This window comes from Homo sapiens, chromosome 3, assembly GCF_000001405.40.
Source record: "Homo sapiens chromosome 3, GRCh38.p14 Primary Assembly".
NCBI classification, from domain to species: domain Eukaryota; kingdom Metazoa; phylum Chordata; class Mammalia; order Primates; family Hominidae; genus Homo; species Homo sapiens.
The window spans coordinates 58,968,848-58,995,828 of record NC_000003.12 but is presented as its reverse complement, the minus strand read 5'-3'; the positions used below and the strand labels follow the sequence as shown (position 1 = coordinate 58,995,828).

The following is a 26,981-nucleotide window of genomic DNA, read 5'->3' as shown; positions in this document are numbered from 1 at the left end:
CCAGTCCAAGTTGGAAGGGTCCCAAGGCAAAAGACCTATGTTCCAACTAAAAAGACAGAGAGAGCAAATTCTCCCTTACTCCACCATTTTATTCTGTTCAGGGCTCCAATTGATTGGATGAGACCTAACCACATTTGAGAGGCAATTTACTTCACTCAGTCTACTGATTTGTGTGTTAATCTCGGCCAAAAACACCTTCACAGATACACCCAAAATAATGTTTAACCAAATCTCTGGGGACCCAAGAGCCCATTCAGTTGAAAAAAAATTGATCTTCACAGTAATGTTAGATGCAGCCTTATATAAGGATGAAATTCTTTGATTCCTATAAACTCTTAAAAAAGATTTTTTTCTACTCAAAATTAATTACTTAGACTACTTTTGGAAACATTTTAATTTATTATTTGAATAAATTTTTTAAAATTTCTACAAATAGTGTTTTTTTTTTTTTTAGTGAGATATTTTTGACAATCATTTCTGATGGATTGCAACTGAAAATGTAAAGACATGTGCCAGTGGTTGTTCTGGGAATTTTTCAGTTGCAGGAGAGTCCTCTTTTTGGGCTAAAAAATAGATTTGATAAATTATGGAGGAAACCTATAGAGTGATGGGGCAGAGGAAGGCAGGCTGCTTTGTGCAACTGTATCTCCTAATATCTTTATCAAAATGACATCATAAGGATGTACAGCGAAGGTGGTAACCCTCTGTCATTCCAGAGAAAAAGGGATATAGGTAGTGCAGCCTGAGGTTCTCAAGGCATGGAGGAAAAACGTTTCAAAAACAGAAAAGAACCATTTGAAAATGCAAAAGAAAATGGATATCCTAGGAGCGAATTGGATTATTTTTTCAGACTTGTTGTCTTCCTGTAACCTTAACGAATAGTACCATAGCTCCCCCTGCTGCATAAGGAGGCAAAGAGGCAAAACCCTGTCACAAAGAACCTTCTTCCCTCACCTGCCGGAATTGTTGGTTTTGCTTTTTGTTTTTTTTTTTAAGTCTTTTGGTTCTTTACCCGAGCAAAGTCATTGAAACTGTTCTTTTTTTTTTATTTCCAACCATCCTTTCTCTCCTCTTCCTGCTAATTGCATGTTTGAAAGATTTATGGATATCATTTTAAAAGCTAACATTTCAAATAAAACATAATAGGAAATTATAATTTGATGATTGGAGGTGTCTAGAAATGCATAAAATACAATTTAGATATATATTGTACTTGGATAACAAGTGTGGGAAAAACTGGGGGAAGGGGGAAGGCATTATTGTTATTTGACGAGGAGAAGAACACAGTTTTAAAGACCTGAATTCTCTGACACCAATTTGCTTGGTGCCTTGGGCAAGTTACTTAACTTTCTTTGTGTGCTGCAGTTTCCCCATTAAAAAAAAAATGAGGATAATGGCATATGCCTTTTCTCTGCCTCATAGAATTCTTACCAGAATGATAGAAGATCAAGTAATGCCCCACTTATCCAGCCATCATACTTCCAGCCTTAGCCATCTGTAATGAATCTCAGAAGCAGGCAGAAAAAGGCCTGTGAGCAATGAGAGCACTGCAGGCTTTAAGAAAATGCAAAGTCCATTGACTTGGAATTTTGTGTCAGTTAAGCTCAGTGTGTGCTGAGCTTGCAAGGTATACATGTGTTTGTGTGCATGTATGTTTCTTTTCTCTGTAGTTCTTCCCTCTCTGTAGTTACCTAGGAAGATAGGTTTTTATTTAAATGGAAAGGCAAGAAAGGGAAAGGTTGATTGAGGCAGATGAAAGTGTCTCCTTGGAAATTCACCATGAAGTTGGTGTAAGTTAGTTCAACCATTGTGGAAGACAGTGTCATGATTCCTCAAAGACCTAGAGGCAGAAATACCATTTGACCCAGCAATCCCATTACTGGGTATATACCCAAAGGAATATAAATCATTCTATCACAAACATATTTGCACATGTATGCTCATTGCAGCACTATTCACAATAACAAAGACATGGAATCAGCCCAAATGCCCATCATTGATAGACTGGATAAAGAAAGAATGGTACATATACACCATGGAATACTATGCAGCCATAAAAAGGAACAAGATCATATCCTTTCCAGGGACACAGATGTAGCTGGAAGCCATTATCCTCGGCAAACTAATGCAGGAACAGAAAACCAAATACACATTCTCACTTATAAGTGGGAGCTGAATGATGAGGACACATGGATGCGTGGAAGGAAACAACACACACTAGGGCCTGTTGGAGGATGGGGAATGGGAGGAGGGAGAGCATCAGGAAGAATAGCTAATGGGTGATGAGCTTAATACCTAGGTGATGGGATGTTCTGTGCAGCAAACCACCATGACACACGTTTACCTATGTAACAAACACACACTCTGCACAGGTACCCCTGAACTTAAAAGTTGGAAATAAAAAAAAAAGAAATTCACCATGAAGATAACTAGAGAAGAGGCCAGAATTAGGGGTAAACAGCGTTCTCTATTTCAGTCAATCACACGGTACTGGTTTCCTGCTTCAGAGTTTACAGGCTTTGTTGAAAGTTTTCTGAATCACGGACAGAATGCTCTTTTTACAAAGAAGTTTGTAATGCATTTACAAAAAAAAGAAATATGTACTGCATTTTAGGAAGCATTCTATTAAAAATGAAGGGAATAATGCATAGTTTATGTAGAAAATCAATATATACGGAATATTTCATTTTTTCCTCTGTGGTGTTAGATATATTCAACACTACTATTCTATTTTAGAAACAGTTTGAATTCCTCAATTGGAAAAGTACTCCCCACGTTTTTCTCCTTTGTAGCTCCGGATCTGATTTAAATCACTTGCCAAATCATTTTAAAGCCAAAACAAGGAGTTAGATTCTTGAAATTTGTTTTTGAGGGACAGGGGTGTTTTATAAATTAAAAATGTAAATTATATATGTATTTTTATTTTAAATAAGCTTTAAAATAAAGTATGTATTTTATTTTAAAATAAGCTTTCCCCTTTTTTGGATAAAACTGAAAACTTCCAGTTCTGGATGGATATTTATGTAGATATTTTTTACATACCTTACCTGACTAAGCATTATATTTTCATGCAGTAAGAGCAACAAATTATTTATATATTACATATTCAAATGTTTTTATATAATGTCTTCATTAAAATATGTACTAAATTTATAAATGTAAATTTGAACAAATTTCAAAATTATTTTTGTATTTATTGTCTGATGGAGGCAGGCAAAATGTGATACTCCAGCATTCTTTTCCCAAGAGATATGAAGATCTTCTGACAATTCAAATGAGATTAGTGTAGACTAGGACTTCTCAAACCATTTGAAGAACGAGGTGAGGTTTTTTTCTTTCATTTTAATTTCTTGTTTTTCTGACCAATATGTCATTCAACTGACTGTACATAGTGCCAGTACATAGTTAGGGCCATATGCCACTCACTCCCCATGTGCCTTTGACAACCCCAATCACCCTGTCCAGTGGATGAGCCCAGTGATCACATACTTGGATGTTACAGCAATGTCAAATTGGTATATAAGTTTCTGAACAATCTAAATTTTTGTGCTTAACCTGGTCAGGTACTGGTAATAATACATTTGCAGGCAGGCATCTTAGAATCGCACTGGGTAAATTAGTGATTAACAGCACACAACCTGGAATCAGACTGCTTGGGTTTGAATCTCAGCTTTACCATTTGCTGGCTGAGACCCTAGGCATGTCATTTAACCTCTTGTGCCCCAGGTTTCTTATTGGTAAAATGAGGATAACAATGCTAACCCATTTCATAGGGTTGCCACAAGCATTATAGAAACAAAATACTTAATACTGTAGAACTTAATAACAATAGTTTGCTTACTATGTGTTTAGCAGCAGTAATAATGTTGCTAAATCAGTAACATTTTGAACCTACTTGAAATTTCCTTATTTTGCTGACTTATCTAGAATAATTGTTGTAAAACCTAATTTACTTTTAAGTCAGGGGTCCCCGAGCCCTGGGCCACAGACCAGTACCTGTAGGTGACCTGTTAGGAACGGGCCGCACAGCAGGGGGTGAACAGGGGCTAGAGGATTACCACCTGACCTCCGCCTCCTGTCAGATCAACAGTGGTATTAGATTCTCGTAGGAGAGCAGACCCTATTGTGAACTGCACATGTGAGGGATCTAGGTTGTGTGCTCCTTATGAGAATCTAATGCCTGAGATCTCAGGTGGAACAGTTTCATCCTGAAACCATCCCCTCCCTGTACTACCATAACTTCCCCCTACCCCGTTCATAGAAAAATTGTCTTCCACAAAACTAGTCTCTGGTGCCAAAAAGGTTGGGAACTGATGTTTTAAGGGATATATTTTAAGCAAATATAGACCATGAAGGTAATCGAAGTCAAGTATATTATTTGAGGGGAGTGTGATTCATTCATATTGAGGTTCAAACATTCAAGAATATTTAATATTCAGTGAATATTTATTGAACATGCTGTTTCATATGTAGCCTTTAGAAGACATCATTAATTTCCTAGGAGGAGGTAAGCAGTTTGTTACTGAGCCTCTGTCAGAGGTCACAGCTGAAGAAATCTGGTTGGAGATGGTTACTGATGAGTATTTGGTTCAACTACAGTTTGTTAAGGATGTGGACCACAATTGGAATTTATATAATGTAGACCTCAAGGGAAAGAAAATATTGTAAATGCTTTCCTTTGAAAAAAGACATACTGATTCATTCAAGTGTTCATGATTGTGTACCTAGAAAAGATATTTTTAATGTTTTCTTTATATTGGAAATTCATTCATTTGATAAATATGTATTAGAGCCCACTATGTGCCAAGTAAAGTTGCTGAGAATATTTTCAGTTATCAAGGCAGATAAAATCTCTGTCTTCATGAAGTTTGCATTCTGGTATGGAGCCAGGAAAGAAAAGCAGGTTTTTAAAAAAAATAACAAAGTGAGTGTTAAGAAATAAGTGCGCAGAGCACAGGTTGAATATTCCTATTTGAAATGCTTGGTACCAAAGATGTTTCAGGTTTTAGACTTTTTTAGATTTTGGAATATTTGCATTACACACACACACACACACACACACACACACACACACCAGCTGAGCATCCTAAATCTGAAAATCTGAAATTCAAAATGCTCCAGTGAGCATTTCCTTTGAGCATCACGTTGGCATTGAAAAAGTTTCAGATTTTAGAGAATTTCAGAATTCTGATCTTTGGATTTGGGATGCTCAGCCCTGCAATAAGAAAGTACACAGAAAGATCTACTTTAGGAAAAATGGTCAGGATAAGTACCTCTAAGAAAGTAACATTTGAACTGAGACTCAAAGGATGAGGAGCAAGCCATATAAAGAGCATTCTAGGACCTGGAAAAGCTCCTGTTTACTCTGTGCAGTACTTCAGGTATTTCAAAGAACTCCTCAGCAGCAGTAGATGCAGTGTCTTTTCTCTAGCAACAAGACAAAAACCGGGCATTTTTAATACACGTATACAAAACCAACTACAACTCATTAGTTATTCTTGGGAAGAAGAATAAATAAACAAAGAATTCCAGCTCTATTTTACATCTTCATAGCAGAAGCTAGTAGCCTTAGTAGCAGAGGCTAGACATTGTTTGAAGGCATTTCTACTTTAATTTACTATGCCAGTATTTCTGTCTCTTTGGAGTTGTTAATTTCTTCATCTCAGGACCTCTCTGAGGGCTGATCAGGACTGCAGTTCAGAGTGTTTCCAGGGCATTGTGAGAACACAAAATGCATTCCTTGTGCTCCTGTCTTTATTACATGCTGTTCATCAGTACATTGCAGGCACCTCTTAGGCATTTAATTCCATTGGGAGTTTCTCTTGATACAAATTACTTTCATTTACTATAATTTTTATACTTTATCCACAGGATTAACTCTTGACTCTTTTGAAACTCTTGACCACCACCTTTCTCAGAGGTCATGATTTTTTCTGTTTCTGCTATAGCTCATGCCTTGTCTTGTGCTTTGCTAATAATAAATCAATAAATGGCTCATTTCTTGCTCTCATCCAAATGAAGCCATATATGGTAAGCATTAATTTTGTAATAAATTTTCTTCGTCAGAATATCTTACTGCCATTTAAATTTTTTACATAGACTATGGAAATAATTTACTTCCAATATTGAAAAATAATCATCTGCTTGTGAAGTATAAACTGAGCCTCTGTTTATTTTATCTAAAGCAGTATACAAGTCAAACTTTACTTTTTTATTCATAAGTTCACTTTTATAGATTTGTTTGGAATGTACTTATATTACAAAATTTTATCTTCCTTAGGTAGAGTGGAATATCTAAAAAAGTTTATTAATGAATCTTGAAATCTTTGGTCATGAACTACTTATAGTGTCATCTTTGCATACTTCAGTGATATTGAATACTTCTTAAAAACAGGAAATGAGTAATGCTGTATCCAGTGAAACTCTAGGAAGAATTTAAAATGTAATCATCATTAGCAAAAATTCTAAAAACAGCATGTTCTTACTAAGTACATTGGCTTCCTTGCTATCTTAATTCTGTATATTTGCTTTCTTTACATAAGAAGCTCTGCTATTAGTATTGCAGATCTAGAGCCAATGATAGAATGACCTAGATTCTGTGTGTCTTATACATCATCATCTGGATTTTTCAACTAGTCCTAATTTTAGTAACAGTAAGAGTAAATCTCTAAAAGAAAAAAAGGCACAGTGGAAATTTCGGATTTTGATTGATTTCAGTGATGAAAGGACTAAAATATTGACTTTTACTCATGATTTTTCATTATTTCTGCCAGTTTATCATTAATTTTACATTTAGTATTGTTTAAATGCAATGCACTAATTTCATCTTGTGTTATCTAACCTGGAAAAATAGTTTTTAAAAAAACACAGAATGTAAATATTTTAGAAATGAACTCCTGGCAAAAGACATCATCATAACATTTGGAACCATGGGTATTGATGGTCTCTTGGCAAATTATCATTTTTTCTTCAGGCTTCCATTTGCAAAGTAATAATCAGAAATCAGACTAAAATGGGAAATATTTTTAAATGACAGTGATTTAGAAAAAAGACTAGAGGTTGAAGAAAATTTAGAAGTAATAATGGCTACATATTTTATATTTACATTTCTCTTTAGGAGAAACTGAAGATTCAGAAATATTGTCTTAATCCATTTGGGCTGCTTTAACGAAGTATCATAAACTGAGTAGCTTACAAACTACAGAAATCTTTGTCACAGTTGACAAGGAAATATGGTGAAGTAGTTGCTTTAGCCAGTGAAGATGAGTATGAGCTGACATATGTCACTTTAGGAAGATGCTTTAGAAATGTCCCTGTTCCCATCTCAATGCTCTGCTGATTATGGAAGAATGTACCAGCCTAAGTCCCTGAGTTACCAGAATAAGCAGAACCTCCTGCTGCCCCATGGAACATGTAGTGCGAAGAAGACATAATCTTTTACATGTTAAGTTTCCGAAATTTGGGAGTTATTTATTACTTTGGTATAACCCGTCTTGACTGATACAGGATCTAAAAATATAACTTAGTCATAGATTAAAGTGCTTACTTTTCTAGTTTGCTAAAGCTTGTTATTATTCATGGGTGTTGAATTTCATTGAATGCTTTTTTTCTGCACCTGTCCAGTTGATCATATGTTTTTGATTTTAGTCTGTTAATGTCATGGATGACATTACAGATATTCTCATATTTAAACTTCCTTCCATTCTTGACCATAACCTCTGTTGGTCATCAAATATGGTATTTTTATACATTGTTAGACTGAGTTTTCTTTCCTTTATTTAAGACTTGTAGACACATACATTCATTATTAGATTATTTTATAATTTTTCTAGTCATCCTCACATAGTTTTATGATAAAATTATATTTGATAAATTAAGTTGGGGTGTTTTAATCCTTTTTATATCTCAAACAATCTGTATTGGGTTCCTTAAAGGTTTGGTAGAACTTGTCTTTAAAACCTCTGGACCTGGTGCTTTTTAGTGGATAGATTTTTAACCACCAATACCATTTCTTTAATGGTTATAGGTATTTTTAAGTTTTCTATTTTTTTCTCTTGTCAATTCTAATAATTATAATATTCTAGAAGTGTCATTTTGTTTCCAGTTTAATAGTATAGAGTTATAAGAGTTATGTGAGAGTTTATAGATAGCTATATATGTAAAAGTATATACAGTTTTTTGTTCTCTGCTGTATCTGTACAATGCTGATACTGTATTTTTAAATTTCTAATATTGTATATTTTTCTTACTTAATCTTTTCAGAGGTTTTGCATTTCATTGGTCTGTTCAAAGAATCATATTTTTGCTCTAGGTAATACTCTCAAAGTTTCCATTTCAATTATTTTCTTAATCCTTCTTTCCACTTTTGTAATATATTGTTTTTCCAACTTTTTGAGTTGAATGCTTAACCCAGGAAGCTTAATCTTACTTTTTTTAATAGGCAATTTAAGGCTATACATTTAGATTAATTTCAAGTTGTTATATGTAGTACATGATTCTTATTTTTTAACCTTGACCACTTGGAAGTTATATTTTATTTCTGTTCTTTTAGTGGTTACCCTTAAATTTATAACACTCATATTTGACTTAAAGTAGGAAATTAATAGCTCATTCTCTTATAACACAAACATCTTACCTAAGAAAGCTTTAACTCCAGTTGTATCCCATCCATCTCCTTGTTTCTTCCTTTATCTCTCTGTGTTCCATTCTGAGTAATTTCTTTCAGATCACTAAGTTTTTAGCTCTGTTTAATATGTTGTTTGCAGGTCCTTTTTTATTAAAAAATTATTTCAATTTCTAGAACCCTATTTGGCTCTTTTTCAAATTTGTTGTTTATGGTATCCTATTTACTTATTATAGTTTTAAACATATTTTACAGTGACTTTCAAATTGCTCTGTTCTCTGAAGTTCTAAAGAAGTGACTCTTCCTATTATAAATACTGACTCTCCCTCATGGTGTATCATTTCCTTGTGTAGTTAGTAACTTTGGAATGTGACTTTATGTTTATTGGGGGTCGTTTTTTCCGTGAGAGTACCTGTAGCATGGATTGCTGGTATGTCCCCCTAGAAAAGCTTTGCATTTTATTCAAAGGGTACGTCAAGGCTTTTACTGACATAGAACGAGTTTTTAAATGTCTTTCTCAGCTTGGGATTCCCTCACAAGGGTAGTTTAAAGTCAAACTCAGGTCATGTACATGGTTTGGTCTTAAGGACTTAATTTCTCACAGTCGACTTTTTACTCAACCCAACCCAAAGCCTGGACAGAGACAAGCTTATTTATTTTTTATTTATTTTTTGCTAGTTTGTTTTTGATTTTCCATACAGAAGTTTCTAGAACTCCTTTCACAGAGGGAGCAGTAATTCCAAGGTCTGGCTTTCTGCAGGAGGCTCAGTTCTAGCTTCCCACCTTATTTAAGCCCAAGGCCACATCTACTGTCTCACTATAGATGTTACAATCCTGAGGCCCCCATCTATAATTTTATGTGTCTGTGCACACATGCACACATATTAACCCTCTGGTTCCTGTATACATTTAGGCTAGATAGCTCATCCCCCAATAAACACATACCCTACTTTGGCATCAACTGATAGCTGACTGGCCCTGGCTTTTATTTCCTCTTTATTCTGATACTCAATCAACTTCCTATTTTATCTTTCAAACTTACGTATGAATTGAAGGTTCATTTTTCTTATATTTTCGCAGACTATGTATTTGTAGCAGTTAGGGAATATTCATTAGCTCAGTTCATGTTGATAAAATCCCTTAGTTTCTAATAAAGGAAAACAAATGGTTAGCCAAAAGTGAGAAATGTAATTATAGCTTACAGGCTGAACTGGGAATGAGAGTGAACTATTAGAGAAAACTGTCTGGACATTCTCTCATCCAGTGTCTGTTCAATGTGTACTGTATAAGATTCCAGAGACTGTTCCAGACCCTGGCGATACAAAGATGAATAAGAAATAATTCCCTTCCTTAGTGAGTTCATAGACTATCAAATAGAATAATATAGAACAAATAGAATGCAGTGAGAGAAATGCTAACAGAAGTATATATAATTGCTATGAAGACTTTAAATAAAATAGAGTTTTTATTTTTGCCTTTTAGTTAGAGGTATGTTGATGGAATAGGGGATGTTGCTAACGGGTTTCATAGAACAAGTAAAAAATCACAAATGGTAAGCACGGCATTTTTGGATGAGAGATAAACATGTATAAAAGCCACACTACTAGTGTAGTATATTGGTTTGGCTGGAGAATAAGGAGTGAGTGGAGAAGTGATGATAGATGGATCTGAAGAAATAGGCACCGATTTTTTAATTTTATTCTGTAGGCAAGGGATTGATAGTTTTTATGAATTAGGAAGATAACATTGCTGGTTATTTTTCTAAAGATGTGTTAAGTTGCTGAGAAAAAAAAACTAGATATGGTGAGTGTAATTAGGAGGTTGTTGCAGTCAATCAGGCCAGGGATGATGGATATTGAAAAGCAAGAGTAGAGTTGAAGAGGAAGGAATATACTTCAGAAATGGGGACTCTCAGAGAAATTTTTCAGTGTTAGTATAAAAAGAGAATAGGAAGAATATTAATAAATGAACCACAATTGGCCCAGCACAGTGGCTCACACCTGTAATCCCAACACTTTGGGAGGCCAAGGCAGGAGGATGGCTTGAGCACAAGAGTTCAAGACTAGTCTGGGCAACATAGCAAAACCCTGTCTACAAAAATAAAGTTAAGAAAAATCAGCTGGCCATTGTGGGCGCTCCTGTAGTCCCAGTCCTCCAGTCCTAGTGCCTCAGTCCTACTCAGGAGGCTGAGGCAGGAGGATCACTTGAGCCCAGGACGTCAAGGCTGCAGTGGGCTGTGATCATGCCACTCTAGCCTGGGTGATGGAGAGAGATCCTGTCCCCTCAGCCCCCCAAAAAAAGTAACCAAAATTTATTGAGCAATCACACCATGCCAGCAACTTTACCAAGTTCCTTTAACTCTCACAAAACTCTGTAAGTGATAATTTATAAATGAGAAAGCCTCAGAGAAGTTCAGTAATAGCCCACCCAACATCACACCTGTGGTGCTATATCCAAATGCTGTCTGATTCCCATGCTGGTTTTCTTTTCACTCTTTTTGTTCCTTCTCTGTAGAGATTTTGTTTTAATGCTAATCATTTTTTCCATGGGACTCTCCTTATATTGCAGTTTTATCAGGTGAAATGATGAGCAATTCAAGAGTCTTTAAATAACTATAATTTGAAATGTCAAATTACTTCTCAACTGTAAGCTAATTAAATCTTGCAAGGCAAGACCCTCTAAAGTTAAAAATGATTTGGCATCTCTTTCCATGTCATTAGGCTACATCTCTCTGCAGTGTGATGATTCTGCTCGTTGCATTTCAGAGTTTGCTGGTGTCACCATGTGGTTTGGTGGGGCTAAGAATAATAATTATTCCTAAATCCTCTGGCAAAAGTTGTCAGAAACCAATTCAGAAGCTATACCATCACCACTAAGTTCACAGTTCAAAAAACAGTGACCACTCAGGGATATTCTGACAAATATAGTGTCACAACAAAGAAATAGGAAGCCAATAACAATTATTGATGATTTACTGCAGAAGTTCTCTTGGGCACTTCAAAAGAAAGGTTTTATCTAAGTAGAGAAAATTTAATTTTAGTAAGCAGGATGGAATGCTATCACCAACTTGTCCTGCCAACTGGATTCTTCCTTTCCTCCCCAGCCAAACTTATAAGCATTCTTTCCCTTTTCCATTTAAACATTAATGACAGGCAAAGAAATGGTGAGATATCATTATAAAGTTCAGAAATAGCCCAACTTAACTCCTGAAATCATGCCTTACACATATGCATTAGAATTTCTGGGTCAAGGGTGAAGACAGTATATATCAAAGTGGTTTAAATGACAGATGCTAGGGCCAGACTGCCTGGGTTGGAATTCTGGTTCTGATACTCACTAGCCATGTGATCCTAGGTAGGTTACTTAGTGTCCTTGTGCCTCAGTTTCCTCATCCATAAAATGGGAATAATAAAAGGACATATCCCATGGGGTTGCTTGAAGATTAAACAACATCCATAAAGCATTTTGAATAGCACTTGGCACAGATTAAGCCATATATAGGTATTTATTATTATAATTATTACTGTTGATATTTATAACAATTTCTATTTTGGTGTGTTATGGTGATTATTATTAAATTTGGATGATAAAATATTTACCCTATTTCCAATAAGCAAATCTTTGAGTAGAATAAGAATAGGCAGTCTCTTTTATGCTTTCCCATTAGAGTGTTTTGCTCTGATTTTGTTGTGTAAATCTTTCAAATAGAAAATATATAAAACTGAACCATAAGTTCTAAAACTGCCATCTAAATTGAGTATGGTTTTCGTGCTTTAAAAAAACATGTTTTGTTTGTTAAATTGGAAACAATTTAGTGCACCCACATTCCTTCTGGTTTAAGTAATCTATAGAATTAAAATGACAAAAAAGTAGGATTAGCCAGATTTATATTTGGCAAAGGAGCGTTGCAAACAGCTTCCATAAAACAGGTGTAGCTGTTTTAATAGATGTACCAGACTGGCCCATAAAACCCACCCAGTTGCCATAGCACTCCACAGATGTCCACTTAAACAATTTAATATCACTGAAATGATTCTGGCAAAGAATTTCTTAAAACAAACTGTAATGATTTATCATTTTGAGCTGTCTCAAGTACCATCATTATCCTAATGGCCCATGATCAGAATATTTTTCTTCAAATTCTTTCCCCCCACTTTGGCTCTCCTTTTTCTGTTCAGACCCTCTTCATCTGCATATGCTTAATACCACTAATCAGGCTCTTTCATTCATATTATCCAACCCACACTAAATTTCCTTACCTTACTCTTTTCGCTTTCATTTGAGAAAAATCCTGTCTTCCAATCTCCTCCTGTGTGAATTGATTCTAGAAACTTTTTTTGTTTTTATTATTATACTTTAATTTTTAGGGTACATGTGCACAATGTGCAGGTTTATTACATATGTATACATGTGCCATGTTGGTGTGCTGCACCCATTAACTCGTCATTTAGCATTAGGTATGTCTCCTAATGCTATCCCTCCCCCCTCCCCCCACCCCACAACAGTCTCCGAAGTGTGATGTTCCCCTTCCTGTGTCCATGTGTTCTCATTGTTCAATTCCCGCCTATGAGTGAGAACATGCGGTGTTTGTTTTTTTTGTCCTTGTGATAGTTTGCTTAGAATAATGGTTTCCAGTTTCATCCATGTCCCTACAAAGGACATGAACTCTTCATTTTTTATGGCTGCATAGTATTCCATGGTGTATATGTGCCACATTTTCTTAATCCAGTCTATCATTGTTGGACATTTGGTTCCAAGTCTTTGCTATTGTGAATAGTGCCGCAATAAACATACGTGTGCATGTGTCTTTATAACAGCAAGATTTCTAATCCTTTGGGTATATACCCAGTAATGGGATGGCTGGGTCAAATGGTATTTCTAGTTCTAGATCCCTGAGGAATCGCCACACTGACTTCCAAAATGGTTTACAAACTAGTTTACAGTCCCAGCAACAGTGTAAAAGTGTTCCTATTTCTCCACATCCTCTCCAGCACCTGTTGTTTCCTGACTTTTTAATGATTGCCATTCTAACTGGTGTGAGGTGGTATCTCATTGTGGTTTTGATTTGCATTTCTCTGATGGCCAGTGATGGTGAGCATTTTTTCATGTGTCTTTTGGCTGCATAAATGTCTTCTTTTGAGAAGTGTCTGTTCATGTCCTTCACCCACTTTTTGATGGGGTTGTTTGTTTTTTTCTTGTAAATTTGTTTGAGTTCATTGTAGATTCTGGATATTAGCCCTTTGTCAGATGAGCAGGTTGCGAAAATTTTCTCCCATTTTGTAGGTTGCCTGTTCACTCTGATGGTAGTTTCTTTTGCTGTGCAGAAGCTCTTCAGTTTAATTAGATCCCATTTGTCAATTTTGGCTTTTGTTGCCATTGCTTTTGGTGTTTTAGACATGAAGTCCTTGCCCATGCCTATGTCCTGAATGGTATTGCCTAGGTTTTCTTCTAGGGTTTTTATGGTTTTAGGTCTAACATGTAAGTCTTCAATCCATCTTGAATTACTTTTTGTTTAAGGTGTAAGGAAGTGATCCAGTTTCAGCTTTCTACATATGGCTAGCCAGTTTTCCCAGCACCGTTTATTAAATAGGGAATCCTTTCCCCATTGCTTGTTTTTCTCAGGTTTGTCAAAGACCAGATGGTTGTAGACATGCAGCATCATTTCTGAGGGCTCTGTTCTGTTCCGTTGATCTATATCTCTGTTTTGGTACCAGTACCATGCTGTTTTGGTTACTGTAGCCTTGTAGTATAGTTTGAAGTCAGGTAGTGTGATGCCTCCGGCTTTGTTCTTTTGGCTTAGGATTGACTTGGCGATGCGGGCTCTTTTTTGGTTCCATATGAACTTTAAAGTAGTTTTTTCCAATTCTGTGAAGAAAGTCATTGGTAGCTTGATGGGGATGGCATTGAATCTATAAATTACCTTGGGCAGTATGGCCATTTTCACGATATTGATTCTTCCTACCCATGAGCATGGAATGTTCTTTCATTTGTTTGTATTCTTTTTTATTTCATTGAGCAGTGGTTTGTAGTTCTCCTTAAAGAGATCCTTCACATCCCTTGTAAGTTGGATTCCTAGGTGTTTTATTCTCTTTGAAGCAATTGTGAATGGGAGTTCACTCATGATTTGGCTCTCTGTTTGTCTGTTATTGGTGTATAAGGATGCTTGTGATTTTTGCACATTGATTTTGTATCCTGAGACTTTGCTGAAGTTGCTTATCAGCTTAAGGAGATTTTGGGCTGAGACAATGGGGTTTTCTAGATATACAATCATGTCATCTGCAAACAGGGACAATTTGTCTTCCTGTTTTCCTAATTGAATACCCTTTATTTCCTTCTCCTGCCTAATTGCCCTGGCCAGAACTTCCAACACTATGTTGAATAGGAGTGGTGAGAGAGGGCATCCCTGTCTTGTGCCAGTTTTCAAAGGTAATGCCTCTAGTTTTTGCCCATTCAGTATGATATTCGCTGTGGGTTTGTCATAGATGGCTCTTATTATTTTGAGATACATCCCATCAATACCTAATTTATTGAGAGTTTTTAGCATGAAGCATTGTTGAATTTTGTCAAAGGCCTTTTCTGCATCTATTGAGATAATCATGTGGTTTTTGTCTTTGGTTCTGTTTATATGCTCAATTACATTTATTGATTTGTGTATATTGAACCAGCCTTGCATCCCAGGGATGAAGCCCACTTGATCATGGTGGATAAGCTTTTTGATGTGCTGCTGGATTTGGTTTGCCAGTATTTTATTGAGGATTTTTGCATCAATGTTCATCAAGGATATTGGTCTAAAATTCTCTTTTTTTGTTGTGTCTCTGCCGTCCTTTGGTATCAGGATGATGCTGGCCTCATAAAATGAGTTAGGGAGGATTCCCTCTTTTTCTGTTGATTGGAATAGTTTCAGAAGGAATGGTACCAGCTCCTCCTTGTACCTCTGGTAGTCTAGAAACTTTTAAGGTAACTTTATCTTCAAGTTTGGAGGGCTACTTGATGATGGGAGGCAGACAACTCAGACAGAGGCATTAAGAGCTATCAAGCTCGGTAGTGGGAAGCCAATGGCATTGAATTTAAGAAGGGATATATACATTTAGCAGGTCCTTACATTACAGATAATGCATCAGGCTTTCAACTATGGCAGTGGTAGGGTGGATAACTTTATCACTAAGGCAACATACTTCCTCAGTGATGTCCGAGGCAAACAGTGCTAATCGATCATTTCAACCTTGCTGTCCTTCTTAACAGAGCACTCCAGACAGTCACTACCAATCATTTGACACTGGAACTTAAGACGAAACCTATTTGCTGTCCAGGATATGATTTTTACAAAAGACATAAAGTTTCCTTCAAATGGATTTTTGTTATATTGATTCTCCATAAAAAAAAAAAAAGAAAAAGAAACAAGGACAAAACATTAAATCTCAACTTTGTGAAGGCACTTCTTTAGGGAGAAAATATAATATGGTTCAGAAAATGAGGCATTTCAAGCAATCCTTTGGCAAGTGCTAAATTCAGCCAGTTCGTAGTTGAATTTTTGACAAGCGCCTAAAGTGCTGAAACTCAGTGCTGTTGCTTAAGGTAGGATCAATATACTTTAGATACCAGACCGGAAGCAGAGTTGACGTTCTCTTATGGAAGTTCAGAGCCTGAATTTCATTCTTGTCATACTGACAGCCATCTTCTTTTTGTGGAAAGCTGGATTAACAAAGGTGGCTCATTCCTCAGTATTTGAATAAATACTTTGTTGTAACCTCAAAGTTCTAGAATATGAATAAAACTTAGTAACAGCTAACACATAGTGCACACAAATACCTTATTCAGACTATACTAAGCAATTTACATACATTATTGCATTCAATCCTTATAGCAATTTTACAAGATAGAGACTACTTTTATTCCTAGATTAAAGGTGAGGAAATTGAGAAGAGGGAGCCCTAACTTGCCCCAAGTACTACAGGCTAATGGGTGGAAGAACCATGATTTGTGCCTATGCAGTCTGACTGCAAAGCCTGTTGTTAGCTTAGCTTCCACTCTGTCCTTCCTCTTTCACTTGCAGGCCAGGTTTTGTGATTCTCTTTGCTTGACAGAACATATCATCTAGTCATGACCTTGGCTGCAAAGAATCAATCTTCTGGGACCTTTGTGGAAAGTAACTTAGCTGTAGCCCTGGAGTTAAGGTATCTGGTAAATCACAGCATCACCACTATCACTGGGATAATACAGAACTAGGTTAAGGTTAGGCTTGAAGAATATAGCAAGAATGCATCAGGACCTGGGATTAGAGTGGATATTGCTGAGTTTAGCCAAGAAAAGGCAGAAATTGATGAAAACTAAAAGCCAGAGGAGTGCTTCTCTAGTGAAGTCAGCCATGTTTCTCATGTGCTCCTTGAACTATCTGCATTAGAAATGGTAGGAAGCCCCAAGTCCAGAAATATCTCCCTCATATTTCTTTGTTTTAATGAACAGAGTAAGACTTTTTTTTTTTTTTTTTTGCAGACAGGGAGATAGTCTCTCTCTTGTCACCCAGGCTGGAGTGCAGTGGGGCGATCTTGGCCCACTGCAACCTCCACCTCCCAGGTTCAAGCAATTCTCATGCCTCAGCCTCCAGAGCAGCTGGGATTACAGACGTGTACCACCAAGCCTGGCTAATTTTTGTATTTTTAGCAGAGATGGGGTTTCACCATGTTGATCAGAATGGTCTCGAACTCCTAGCATCATGTGATCTGCCCAACTCGGCCTCCCAAAGTGCTGGGATTAGAGGTGTGAGCCACTGCACCTGGCAAGAATAATACTTTTCTTGAGTAACACTCATAGTTTGAGGGAGCTGTCAACTATGAGGCAATTAGGTTGCTTTTCGTAGAGATTTGCAATCTTGAGAAAATATAGACAAGGAAAAGCCTTTGGCTCTCTTGACGCGTAGAAAGAAGATGGGAAGTATGAAGGTCAGGGATAGGATGCTATTATAAGGCAGGGGAGTGGGGAAGCCAGTGGTGGCAAAAGAGCTGGGAAGAACCTGGAAGAAGGCTAGGAAGGAAGGTAAATGGTAGGGTGCTAATGAAGCTGCCTGATGCTTCCCCGCATTTTTTTCTCTCTTTTTGCTCCACCCAGGAACAAAGAGCTATGCAGGCCTTGGCACTCACTAGCCTACTTCCGGATCCTTTCCTCTTCAGTTCCATTCATTCTAGGGAGGAACCACCTCATGCCTTTCCCCATTCAGTTCCTGAGAGGAAGGGGCTGGGCTTTCCCCAGGCAAAATTGTACTTTGGTGACAGGTTCCTCTCCTCTTCTTGCATCCTCCTTCCCACACTTCTTTCAGGTTCTTATGCAGAGTTCTAGCCTTGGTACCAGGGTAGAGTGGGGAGAGACAAACACGGAAGGTGTGAGGCTGCTCCTGCTTGCCAAGGGGAGCTGAGTTTATATTGTCTCCTTCAGTTTTCAAATTTCCTGACTCCTTTCCTCCCACTTTTTTTTTTTTTTTTTACTTCGCCACTCTAAATATCTGACAAAAAGTTATAAAACTTTTACCAGAGAATAGGCCATGTCCAGAATTCTTATATCCCCAATGTCTTGCCAGTGGTATGTAAACCCTCAGTAAGTATTAATTTTCAGGGAGCACTGCTTGTGAGATACAGGATACCAGAAAAGGCCAGTATTTGCCTGTCAGATATGCCAGCTACACATGCACTATAGCTTCCTGGCTACAGTCAGGGCTTACCTCAGTGTTTTCTAAAATGTCAGAAGTTACTCTGTGTTTCATGATTAGGTTGCTCATGAAAAATATTTGCTTCAACTGTTTAATTTATATCCTTTAATTCTGATTGTAAGCCTTCGCACATCCACATGTGACTTCCTACCTGAGAAAGGCTAATCATTTGGTTATTTTGGTTCCATTTAAGTAATTTAGTTGGGCAGGGGAACAGATCCTAAAGAGGCTAGCCTCCTGTTTTTACAGTAACTTGGCAAATTAGGTTTTAGCCTCATTTAACAGAAGAAGAAACTACAGTAATTTCTCACCTAATGTCATCAATAGGTTCTTAGAAATTGAGACTTCAAGCAAAACAACCTATAACAGAACCAACTTCACCATAAGTTAATTGATTCAAACAATACTTAAGTTCTTATATCCTATTTCTGGTCACAAAAATATCACCAGGCTTCTAAATAAAGACCCCAAACACTTGTACTATTAATCACTTCTAATATTGAAATAAATGTGAGCTATACATTTAAGAAACATCAGTTAAAGCAAGTAAGACAATTATTTCCCCAAATAGTTTAGTTCAGGGTTGTGGGTGGCCAGAGCTTGTCCCATCAGCACAGGGCACAAGGCAGGAACCCACCTGGACAGGACACCATCCCATCACAGGCAGAACGCACTCACACACACCCTACTCACTACAGCTGGGCCATGTAGACCTGCTGGTGAACCTGACATGCGTGTCTTTGGGATGTGGGAGGAAACCAGAGTGCACAGAGAAAACCCATGCAGACATGGGGAGAATGTATGGACTCCACACAGACAGGGGCCCCAGCTGGGAATCTGTTTTTTTCCCCATCAGCACTATGAGGGAATGATGTTGAATGAAAAGATGTTATTAGAGGACCTCTTGTGATGCTTTGACAATGACTTGCTCAAGTTTTGCAAATAGTGTAAGTGGCAGAGCCAGAATTTAAAACCAATTCCACCTGCCTCCATGGTCTTTGCTCACCCCAGGCACTTTCAGGACACAGGTGATGGCAAAAATGGTCATCATAACATGCATAGCTTTCCTCAGCTGGTGCTGCTGCCCTTTCTTATTCAGCAAGAACCATCATGTCATCAGGCCTGCTCTAGCCACCCAGTGTCTTGGCAACAATCATTTTCATTTACCTGTTAGCCATCCAGTATTCCTTGATCCTCCTCTGCTATTTCCCCACCTACCTTTACTTTCACTTTTGCCTCCTTCCAGAATTAGGATATTTCCTGGCATTTCCACTCCTGCCATCACTGAAGATTAACTTTAATCTCTGTTAACAGCTTAGATGTTAAGGTGTACCTTGTTGAATAGGTCTTAAGTGGAGATCAGTCATTATAAATGCAGCTGCCTTTAAAAATAATGTGGTGTATAAGTGAAGTCAAAGGTTGCTTCTTACAGACTGTTTCTGCAAAAGCGAATAGACCCCTGCCATTCATAATGAAAGTTAAAATGCTTTGAGGTGTAGCATTACCTGGTGCTCCTCTTTCACAGGAGATAAGAGAAGCACTTCGGTGTTTAAATATACAATCATGTGAAAGTGTTGTCACCACTGTAGAATGTGTTTTGCAGTTACCATCTCATCACATCTAAAAAATGGTATGTACAGCCAAATATTCATATACTCAGAGCTACTCCCTGTTCCTTAGTTCACTTTCTTCAATTAAAAAAAAAAGGAAAAAAGATGTGAAAATGACTAATATGTTAGTACCAACAGTATCACATACCAAAACAGGTGATTTTAGGCTATTGCTATAGAAAAAGCAGTAAAAGAAATGAGCATAACCTTGCTTTTAAATGATGCAGTTATTCTCTTTTAGACCATTGGACCATAATAGACATTCTCCTTTTAAGTAAACAAGGAATGGAGCATTTATCAATGCAAATTTTTACTTTACATAAAGACTTTTCATTTTTTTAAGCTAAGATTATGCTGTATAGAAAAATAAAGAGTAAGTGCATTTTCTTCAGTGCTGCCTCAGTTTAGAATTCCTGGATATATTTCTATAAATTCATTGTCTCTACACATAGTCTTATGATTTTGCTATATAATTTGGCCAACATTTATTCAGTTACTATTTATTCAACACCTACTGTGAGGCAGGCATTTGCTAGACAGATTGTTGCTGCCCTCATATTCTGGAGGAGAAGACAGAAAAGCAAGCAAATAAAATAGTTACAAATTGTGGTAAGTACTCTGAAAAAAACTGGCAAAGGACTTACCAACGAGATACCTACTTAGATAAGGTGATAAGAATATTTAAATTAAGATCTGAAGAAGAATGAAGAACTAGTCATGTGAAGAGTAGAAAGCATAGTGTACCCGCTGAAAAAAAAAGCTTGTGCAAATCCCTGTGATAAGGACACACCAAGTGTGAAGCTGGCGAGAGTGAGACTGGCACATATGCTGATTAATCTCCCTTCCACCTACTGGATAAAGAAACTGTGTTTGCCGAACTCCTACTAACCTCAGTAGGGAAGGCACCAGGTTCAAGAGGCCGAAGAAGAGACCAATAGCCAGCAAAGGAGACATGGGGTTTTATTCGGTGCTTCCATACAGAGGAGAGTGTCCAGTGGTGGTGGGCTGGACAGGAGAACTGCCTAACATACATAAACAGTCCAGTGGTGGCGGGCTGGATAACATATTCACCTGGCCCAGTAGCAGTGGGCTGGGCAAGAGAACCAGGACCACTTGCAAATGGCATGGAATTTATGTAGCATTTTCACTAACCACCCTCCCCCTAACAACCTCCACCTGGAAACCTTCATTTAACCCAGAATTCGAGGCCCCAATCCCCTGTACAGCCTATGTTCCATGGGATGGGACGGGCATTTAAATGTTTATCATAGATAAGGAATGAATCTTCAGGTTGGCCATTCCAGGATTCCCTAGCTCTGAACACATATTCAGGTGCATCTGCCATACAGGATCATTCTAAGGGTATGCTTAAATTATGCTATCAGGTGCACTCATCCTACAATGTGGTACATATAACATATATACCATGGAATACTATGTAGCCATAAAAAAGAACAAAACCATGTCCTTTGCAGCAACATGGATGCAGCTGGGGTCCATTTTCCTAAGTGAATTAACACCAGAACAGAAAACCAAATACCACATATTCTCACTTAAAGTGGGAGCTAAACATTGAGTACACACAGACACAAAGAGGGGAACAAAAGACACTGAGGACTACTAGTAGGGGGAAGGTGGGAGGACGGCGAGGGTTGAAAAACTACATGTTAGGTAGGTACTATGCTCACTACCTAGGTGACAAGATCATTTGTACACCAAACTTCAGTGACACGCAACTCACCCATGTAACAAACTTTCACATGTACCCCCAAAACAAAAAGAAAAATCCTCCCTTCCACCCCTCTAGATCTGTTCCCTGCCATTCTCTCACTTGCTCTGTGTCCTGGGAGGTAGCCCGCTCCTGTCCTCCTACGTCATACCATATGAATCACCCAGACTCCCTTGACCTCAGGCTTTTGATTTCCTCAAGCCTCCCAGCCAGTGAGAAGTACCAGCAAGAGATCAGAAGACAGGATGAGAGAGAAGCCAGGGTATTCCTTCCCTCTTTTTTTGCTTTGGACTTCCTACTGATGACCCTTTCTATAAGGATCCAATTGCTCTGACTCTAGTTCCTTCCCTTGCCCCTTTATACCTAGGAATGGTAAAGGCTGCCCATTGTTTCTATTTTGGGGGTGCCTAACCATCCCTTTGTTTCCTCAACCTTGCCCACACCTGTGTAAGGAATTGTTTCATGATAGTCTCTTCATTTTAACTATGTGGGATGAATTCTGTTTCCTTTGAGTCTCTGACTATAGAGAATGACACCTGGTGAGTGAGGCAGGATAATTTCTAGTCCTTTTTAGCTAGGAATTTAGATTCCATTCTCAGAGCAGTGTGAGGCCAATGAAATACGGTGAGATAATCTGATCCCCATGTAAGATGGTCATCCTGGATGCTCTTGAGGGTATTGACTAGAGGAGTAAGAATGGAAGCAGGGAGACCAGCTAGAAGGCTGTGAAGCCAGGAACTGTGTGGTGCCTGGGCAAGAGTGATAGTATAGGAGAAAGAGAAATGAGTGGATTCAACATGTAACTGATAAACTTTTAGCACAGAAATGTGAGTCAAGCATGACTTAAGTTAATGATTTGAGCCATTGGGAGGTGGTGTTGGTAAGGAATTAAGGATTCTTTGTCTTTGGTGGGTTTCATTTGAAATATCTGTGAAATATCCAGGAAGAGATTCAATTAAACAGTTTGGAGTTCAAGGAATGAGTTAGGGCTGAATATCTAGATTGAGTTATGAACATATAAAAAACATTTAAAACTCGGGTGAGAATGGACATAATCCCCATGGAAAAGAATTTCTAAAAAATTAAAAAGAGAGCCTGGGAGCTGCTAACATTTAATCAACCTTAGAAACAATTTGAATGCATATTTTAATTCATCCCCAAATATTGTTTAAATAATATGTAAATCCAGTTTTAGAGAAAAGGAAAATGAAAATAAGGGATGCTTCAGAAATCAAATGTGAAAATGCTGTGTACTGTATTATACTTCTCCCCATAAAATGAACGTGATATCTAGTTGAACATATTTTTTAAAAGACTAATAGACTGTGCCTTCTAGGAATACTGCCTTACTTATGCTTTGAACATTGGCACAAATATAACTCGTGTAAACACTTTAGCTTTGTTCTGGAAACTTACAAATTGAGTATAGAACTGAGTGAGTTAATTTACCTCCTCATTACAGTCTCTTATTTTGAACCAACAGGATTATGCCCAGGTGGTGAGTTCTGCATATTGTCTAACTTAATTGGGAAATGTGTTTACATTGATAAGCTTCCAGCCTAATTCAAATTAGAAGAAAAGCTTTCTAATTTCACCTTTCATTTACTAGAATTTTATAAGATAAAAGAATATATAAAAATGGCACCAGTGTATTTCACTAATGCAATCCATAATAACCAAAACCATCATTAAGCCCTGCAAGAAGACATTTCTTGGTGTTTTTCTTCAGGTCCTCTACAAATGATCATCCTCTGACTCCAGGGACCTATAGATTTTATTATATGGCCTTCCAGCTTTTATATTATAGCATTGAGCTGTCATCTGTAGCATCTATTAGAATGCTATTGACAAAATGTCCACTCATATTGAACTAAGTACTCAATAAACCACTATAAGTAAATTGTTGTGTTCTAACCTTGAAGGATAGTCTATTGATTCCCCTCATGGGTATGAGCCTAGCAGAACGCCCCTATCTGCAGTTCCTTTGTGCTACCTATAATATGTTGTGTAATGTCTTTTTTGAGATCCCAGATTATAAAGGAACTTTTTTTATATTCTTTATTAAAACCAAATATTGTTTTCGCATATTTATTTTATTTCAAATAAATAGTTAACCACTAATCATTGCTTTTTTCTTATGCTCTAAAACTCTGCCATTTTAAAATTGCATACAGAATTAAAGTAATCCACACCTATAATAAGAAAGTTTGGAGTCATTTTCCAAAGGTAATTGTTTTTAGCAGGATTTTTTGGGAGTACCTCTAGAGCTTAATTGTGTGTGTGTGTGTGTGTGTGTGTGTGTATGTGTGCGTGTGTATGATATTACAGTCCTTTTTCCCACAAGTGGAATCATACCATTCACACTTTTTGGCATTTGGTTTGGTAGTGACAGTGGGGCTTTCTCTGTTACCTGCCTTGAGACGATTTCCATACTACTAAATCTGTCTCACTCTTTTTAATAGCGCTATATATACCATTGCATGGCTAGAACATAACCTATTTATCTAGATCCTTATGGTGGACCTCCAAGTTTTCCCTCTGTTTTGCTATTAGTGTTACCATGAATATCCATGTGTGTATCTTTGTGTACCTGTGAAATGTCCTCTATTTAAATATGTGTGAGATTTTCGTGTAAAAATGAAAAAGAGAATGTATATATTGCCTAAGGAATAAAAATCTTCTGCAATTATAGTGATACATTCTGGAGAGCATAGGTGAGGAAGGATAGAAAGATCTAAAGAGTGAATGTCGGAGATATTTTAAAACATTTGACAGATTTTCCTCTTGTTGGATACTGTCAAATTTTGATTGGTGCGCAATTTATTTTAAACTTTAAAAAAAAGTTTTCAAGACTATAAATAATTGGAAATATCTTATAATCATAGTTTGTGTTGATAATTGTGAATCCTTAACTGATTTGTGATTTGTGAAAAACGTACTTTCAGTGCCAAATATCTTCTTTATGGTAAGCTTCAGAAAGTGATCGTTTGTGATGGTACTGTTAGGCTCAACAGAATAGTCAATTAGCTGGAACAAGCAATGTCCTACATCTGTGTATTAACAAAAGGTTACAGTGCTTGATATCTCCTAAAATGAAGGGTGAATTTGTTGTCAATTTATGGCAAAGTGTATGCTTGGGAGGTTAGGAGAGTGGGTGGTGTTACAGATGTATAATTTGAATTCTCACTTTTATGCTAGAGATGGTTATTTTTTAAATAAGCAACTTAACACCCAAACAGTAACTTCTCCAAGGAAGGCAAATGTTACTTGAAAATAGATGATCTTAAAGAAAGGGAAAGAGAACAACGCAATAAATTAGAGCTGACAAAGCAATTAGAAGCATACATCCGAAAGAGTAATACCCTGCATTTATAAATCAGTTTCTTAGTATTTTTATGATCATTTTCTCAGTACAATGGAAGGACAGATGTTATTATTCCCAATTTATAGGGGAGGAAATTGAAACTCCAAGAGGTTGACTCCTGTTCCTATAACCTTTTTCTTCAAGACTGATGATGTGGAAATTACTGTATTGGTTTCTGAGGGCTGCCATAACAAGTCACCACAAACTGGATAGCTTAAAACAATGTATATTTACTGTTTCTGGAAGCTGAAAGTCCAAAATCAAGGTTTCGGCAGGATTGGTTCCTTCTGGAGGCACTGAGGGAGAATCTGTACCATCCCTCTGTCCTAGTCTCTGGCAATTGCCAGCAGTCTTTCGGATTCCTTTGTTTGTAGGTGTATCACTCCAATCTCTGCTTCCATTGTCGCACAGCATCCTCTCCGTCTGTCTTTGTTCAGATTTCCCCCTATTTATAAAGACACCAGTCATTGGATTTAAGCCCACTCTAATCCATTCTGACTTCATGTTAATTTGATTACATCTACAAATACCTTATTCACAAATAAGGTCACAATCACATGTACCAGGGTTAGGACTTGAACATATCTTTGTGGGGGACACAGTTCAACCCACAATGACTAACATTTCAGGACATCACCAAGAAACTAGTGTGTTTCATAGTAATGGAATAAAAATAGTAGTTCTCATTTTATCTATACCTTTCTCCTAAAATTCCATTTACCCAAAGTCTCATCATCAATAAATGACTAAACTAGTAATAGCTTTTTTAAATTCAGTTATAATCCACATATCATAAAATTTATCCTTTTAAAGTGGATGATTCTGTCATTTTTAGTATAATTCACAGTTATGAAACCACCACCACTATGTAATTTTTGAATGTTTTCATCACCCTGAAAAGTACCTGTACCCATTAGCAGGTACTCTCCACTCCCTGCTACCCTTAGCCCTTTCTCTCTGTCTCTCTAGATTTGCCTATTTCAAATACTTCATGTAAGTGGAACCATACTATATGTGGTCTTTTGTGTCTGGCTTCTTTCACTTAGCATAATGTTTTCAAGGTTTATCCATATTGTAGAGTGGAATAGATAAGAATAAGAACTATTGTTTCCATTCTATTGCTATGAAAGACACAACATGGATATTAGTGATTTATTCCTTTTTAGGCCTGAAGAATAATACATTGTATGGATATACCATATTTTATTAGTTAACTTATCAGTTGATGGACATTTGGGTTGTTTCCATTTTGGCTATTATTAATAATGCTGCTATGAACAATTCATATACCAGTTTGTGTGTGGACATATGTTTTCAATCCTCTTGGAGCTCACCTACGAGTGAAATTGCTGGGTCATATGGAACTTTACGTATTTGAAACTGTTTCCAAAGAGGCTGTATCGTTTAATATTCCCATCAGCAATGATGAGGATTCTCATTTCTCCACATCCTCATCAAGACATATTATTGTTAGTCTTTTTTTATTATACCCATCCCAGTGGGTGCGAAATGGTATCTCATGGTTTTGATTTACATTTCACTGTTGATTAATAATGTTGAGCATCTTTCCATTTGCTTATTGGCCATTTGTATACCTTCTTGAAGAAATTTCTATTTAAATTATTTGCCCATACTAAGCAAGAAGAACAAAGCTGCAGGCATCATGTTACCTGACATCAACTATACTACAGGGCTACAGTAACCAAAACGCATGGTACTGGTACAAAAACAGGCACACAGACCAGTGGAGGAGAATAGAGAGCCTAGAAATAAGGCCACACATCTACAGCCATCTGATCTTCAACAAAGCTGACAAAATCAAGGAATGGGGAAAAGACTTTGTATTCAATAAATGGTGCTAGAATAACTAGCTAGCCATTTGGAACAGATTGAAGCTGAACCCCTTCCTTACACCATATACAGAAACCAACTCAAAATGGATTAAACACTTAAAT

General features: G+C 37.1%; 1 protein-coding gene and 1 long non-coding RNA gene across 29 annotated transcripts in view; one reads left to right on the top strand and one right to left on the bottom strand.

Annotated features, from left to right (window-relative positions):
- Window positions 1-26,981, top strand: part of CFAP20DC (CFAP20 domain containing) — a 333,853-nt gene that overhangs the window by 54,197 nt on the left and 252,675 nt on the right. For 3 of the 28 annotated variants that reach the window (NR_147235.2, XM_047447658.1, XM_011533457.2), the window contains one exon: window positions 3,214-3,321. The exons of the other annotated variants lie outside the window; for them this stretch is intronic. The gene's annotated coding sequence lies outside the window, so the exon portion shown is untranslated. The remainder of the gene's footprint in view (window positions 1-3,213; window positions 3,322-26,981) is intronic. 28 annotated transcript variants of the gene reach the window in all.
- Window positions 1-26,981, bottom strand: part of CFAP20DC-AS1 (CFAP20DC antisense RNA 1) — a 194,623-nt gene that overhangs the window by 23,265 nt on the left and 144,377 nt on the right. Inside the window, exon 2 of the long non-coding RNA NR_110820.1 lies at window positions 25,261-25,471. This is a non-coding gene — a long non-coding RNA (CFAP20DC antisense RNA 1). The remainder of the gene's footprint in view (window positions 1-25,260; window positions 25,472-26,981) is intronic.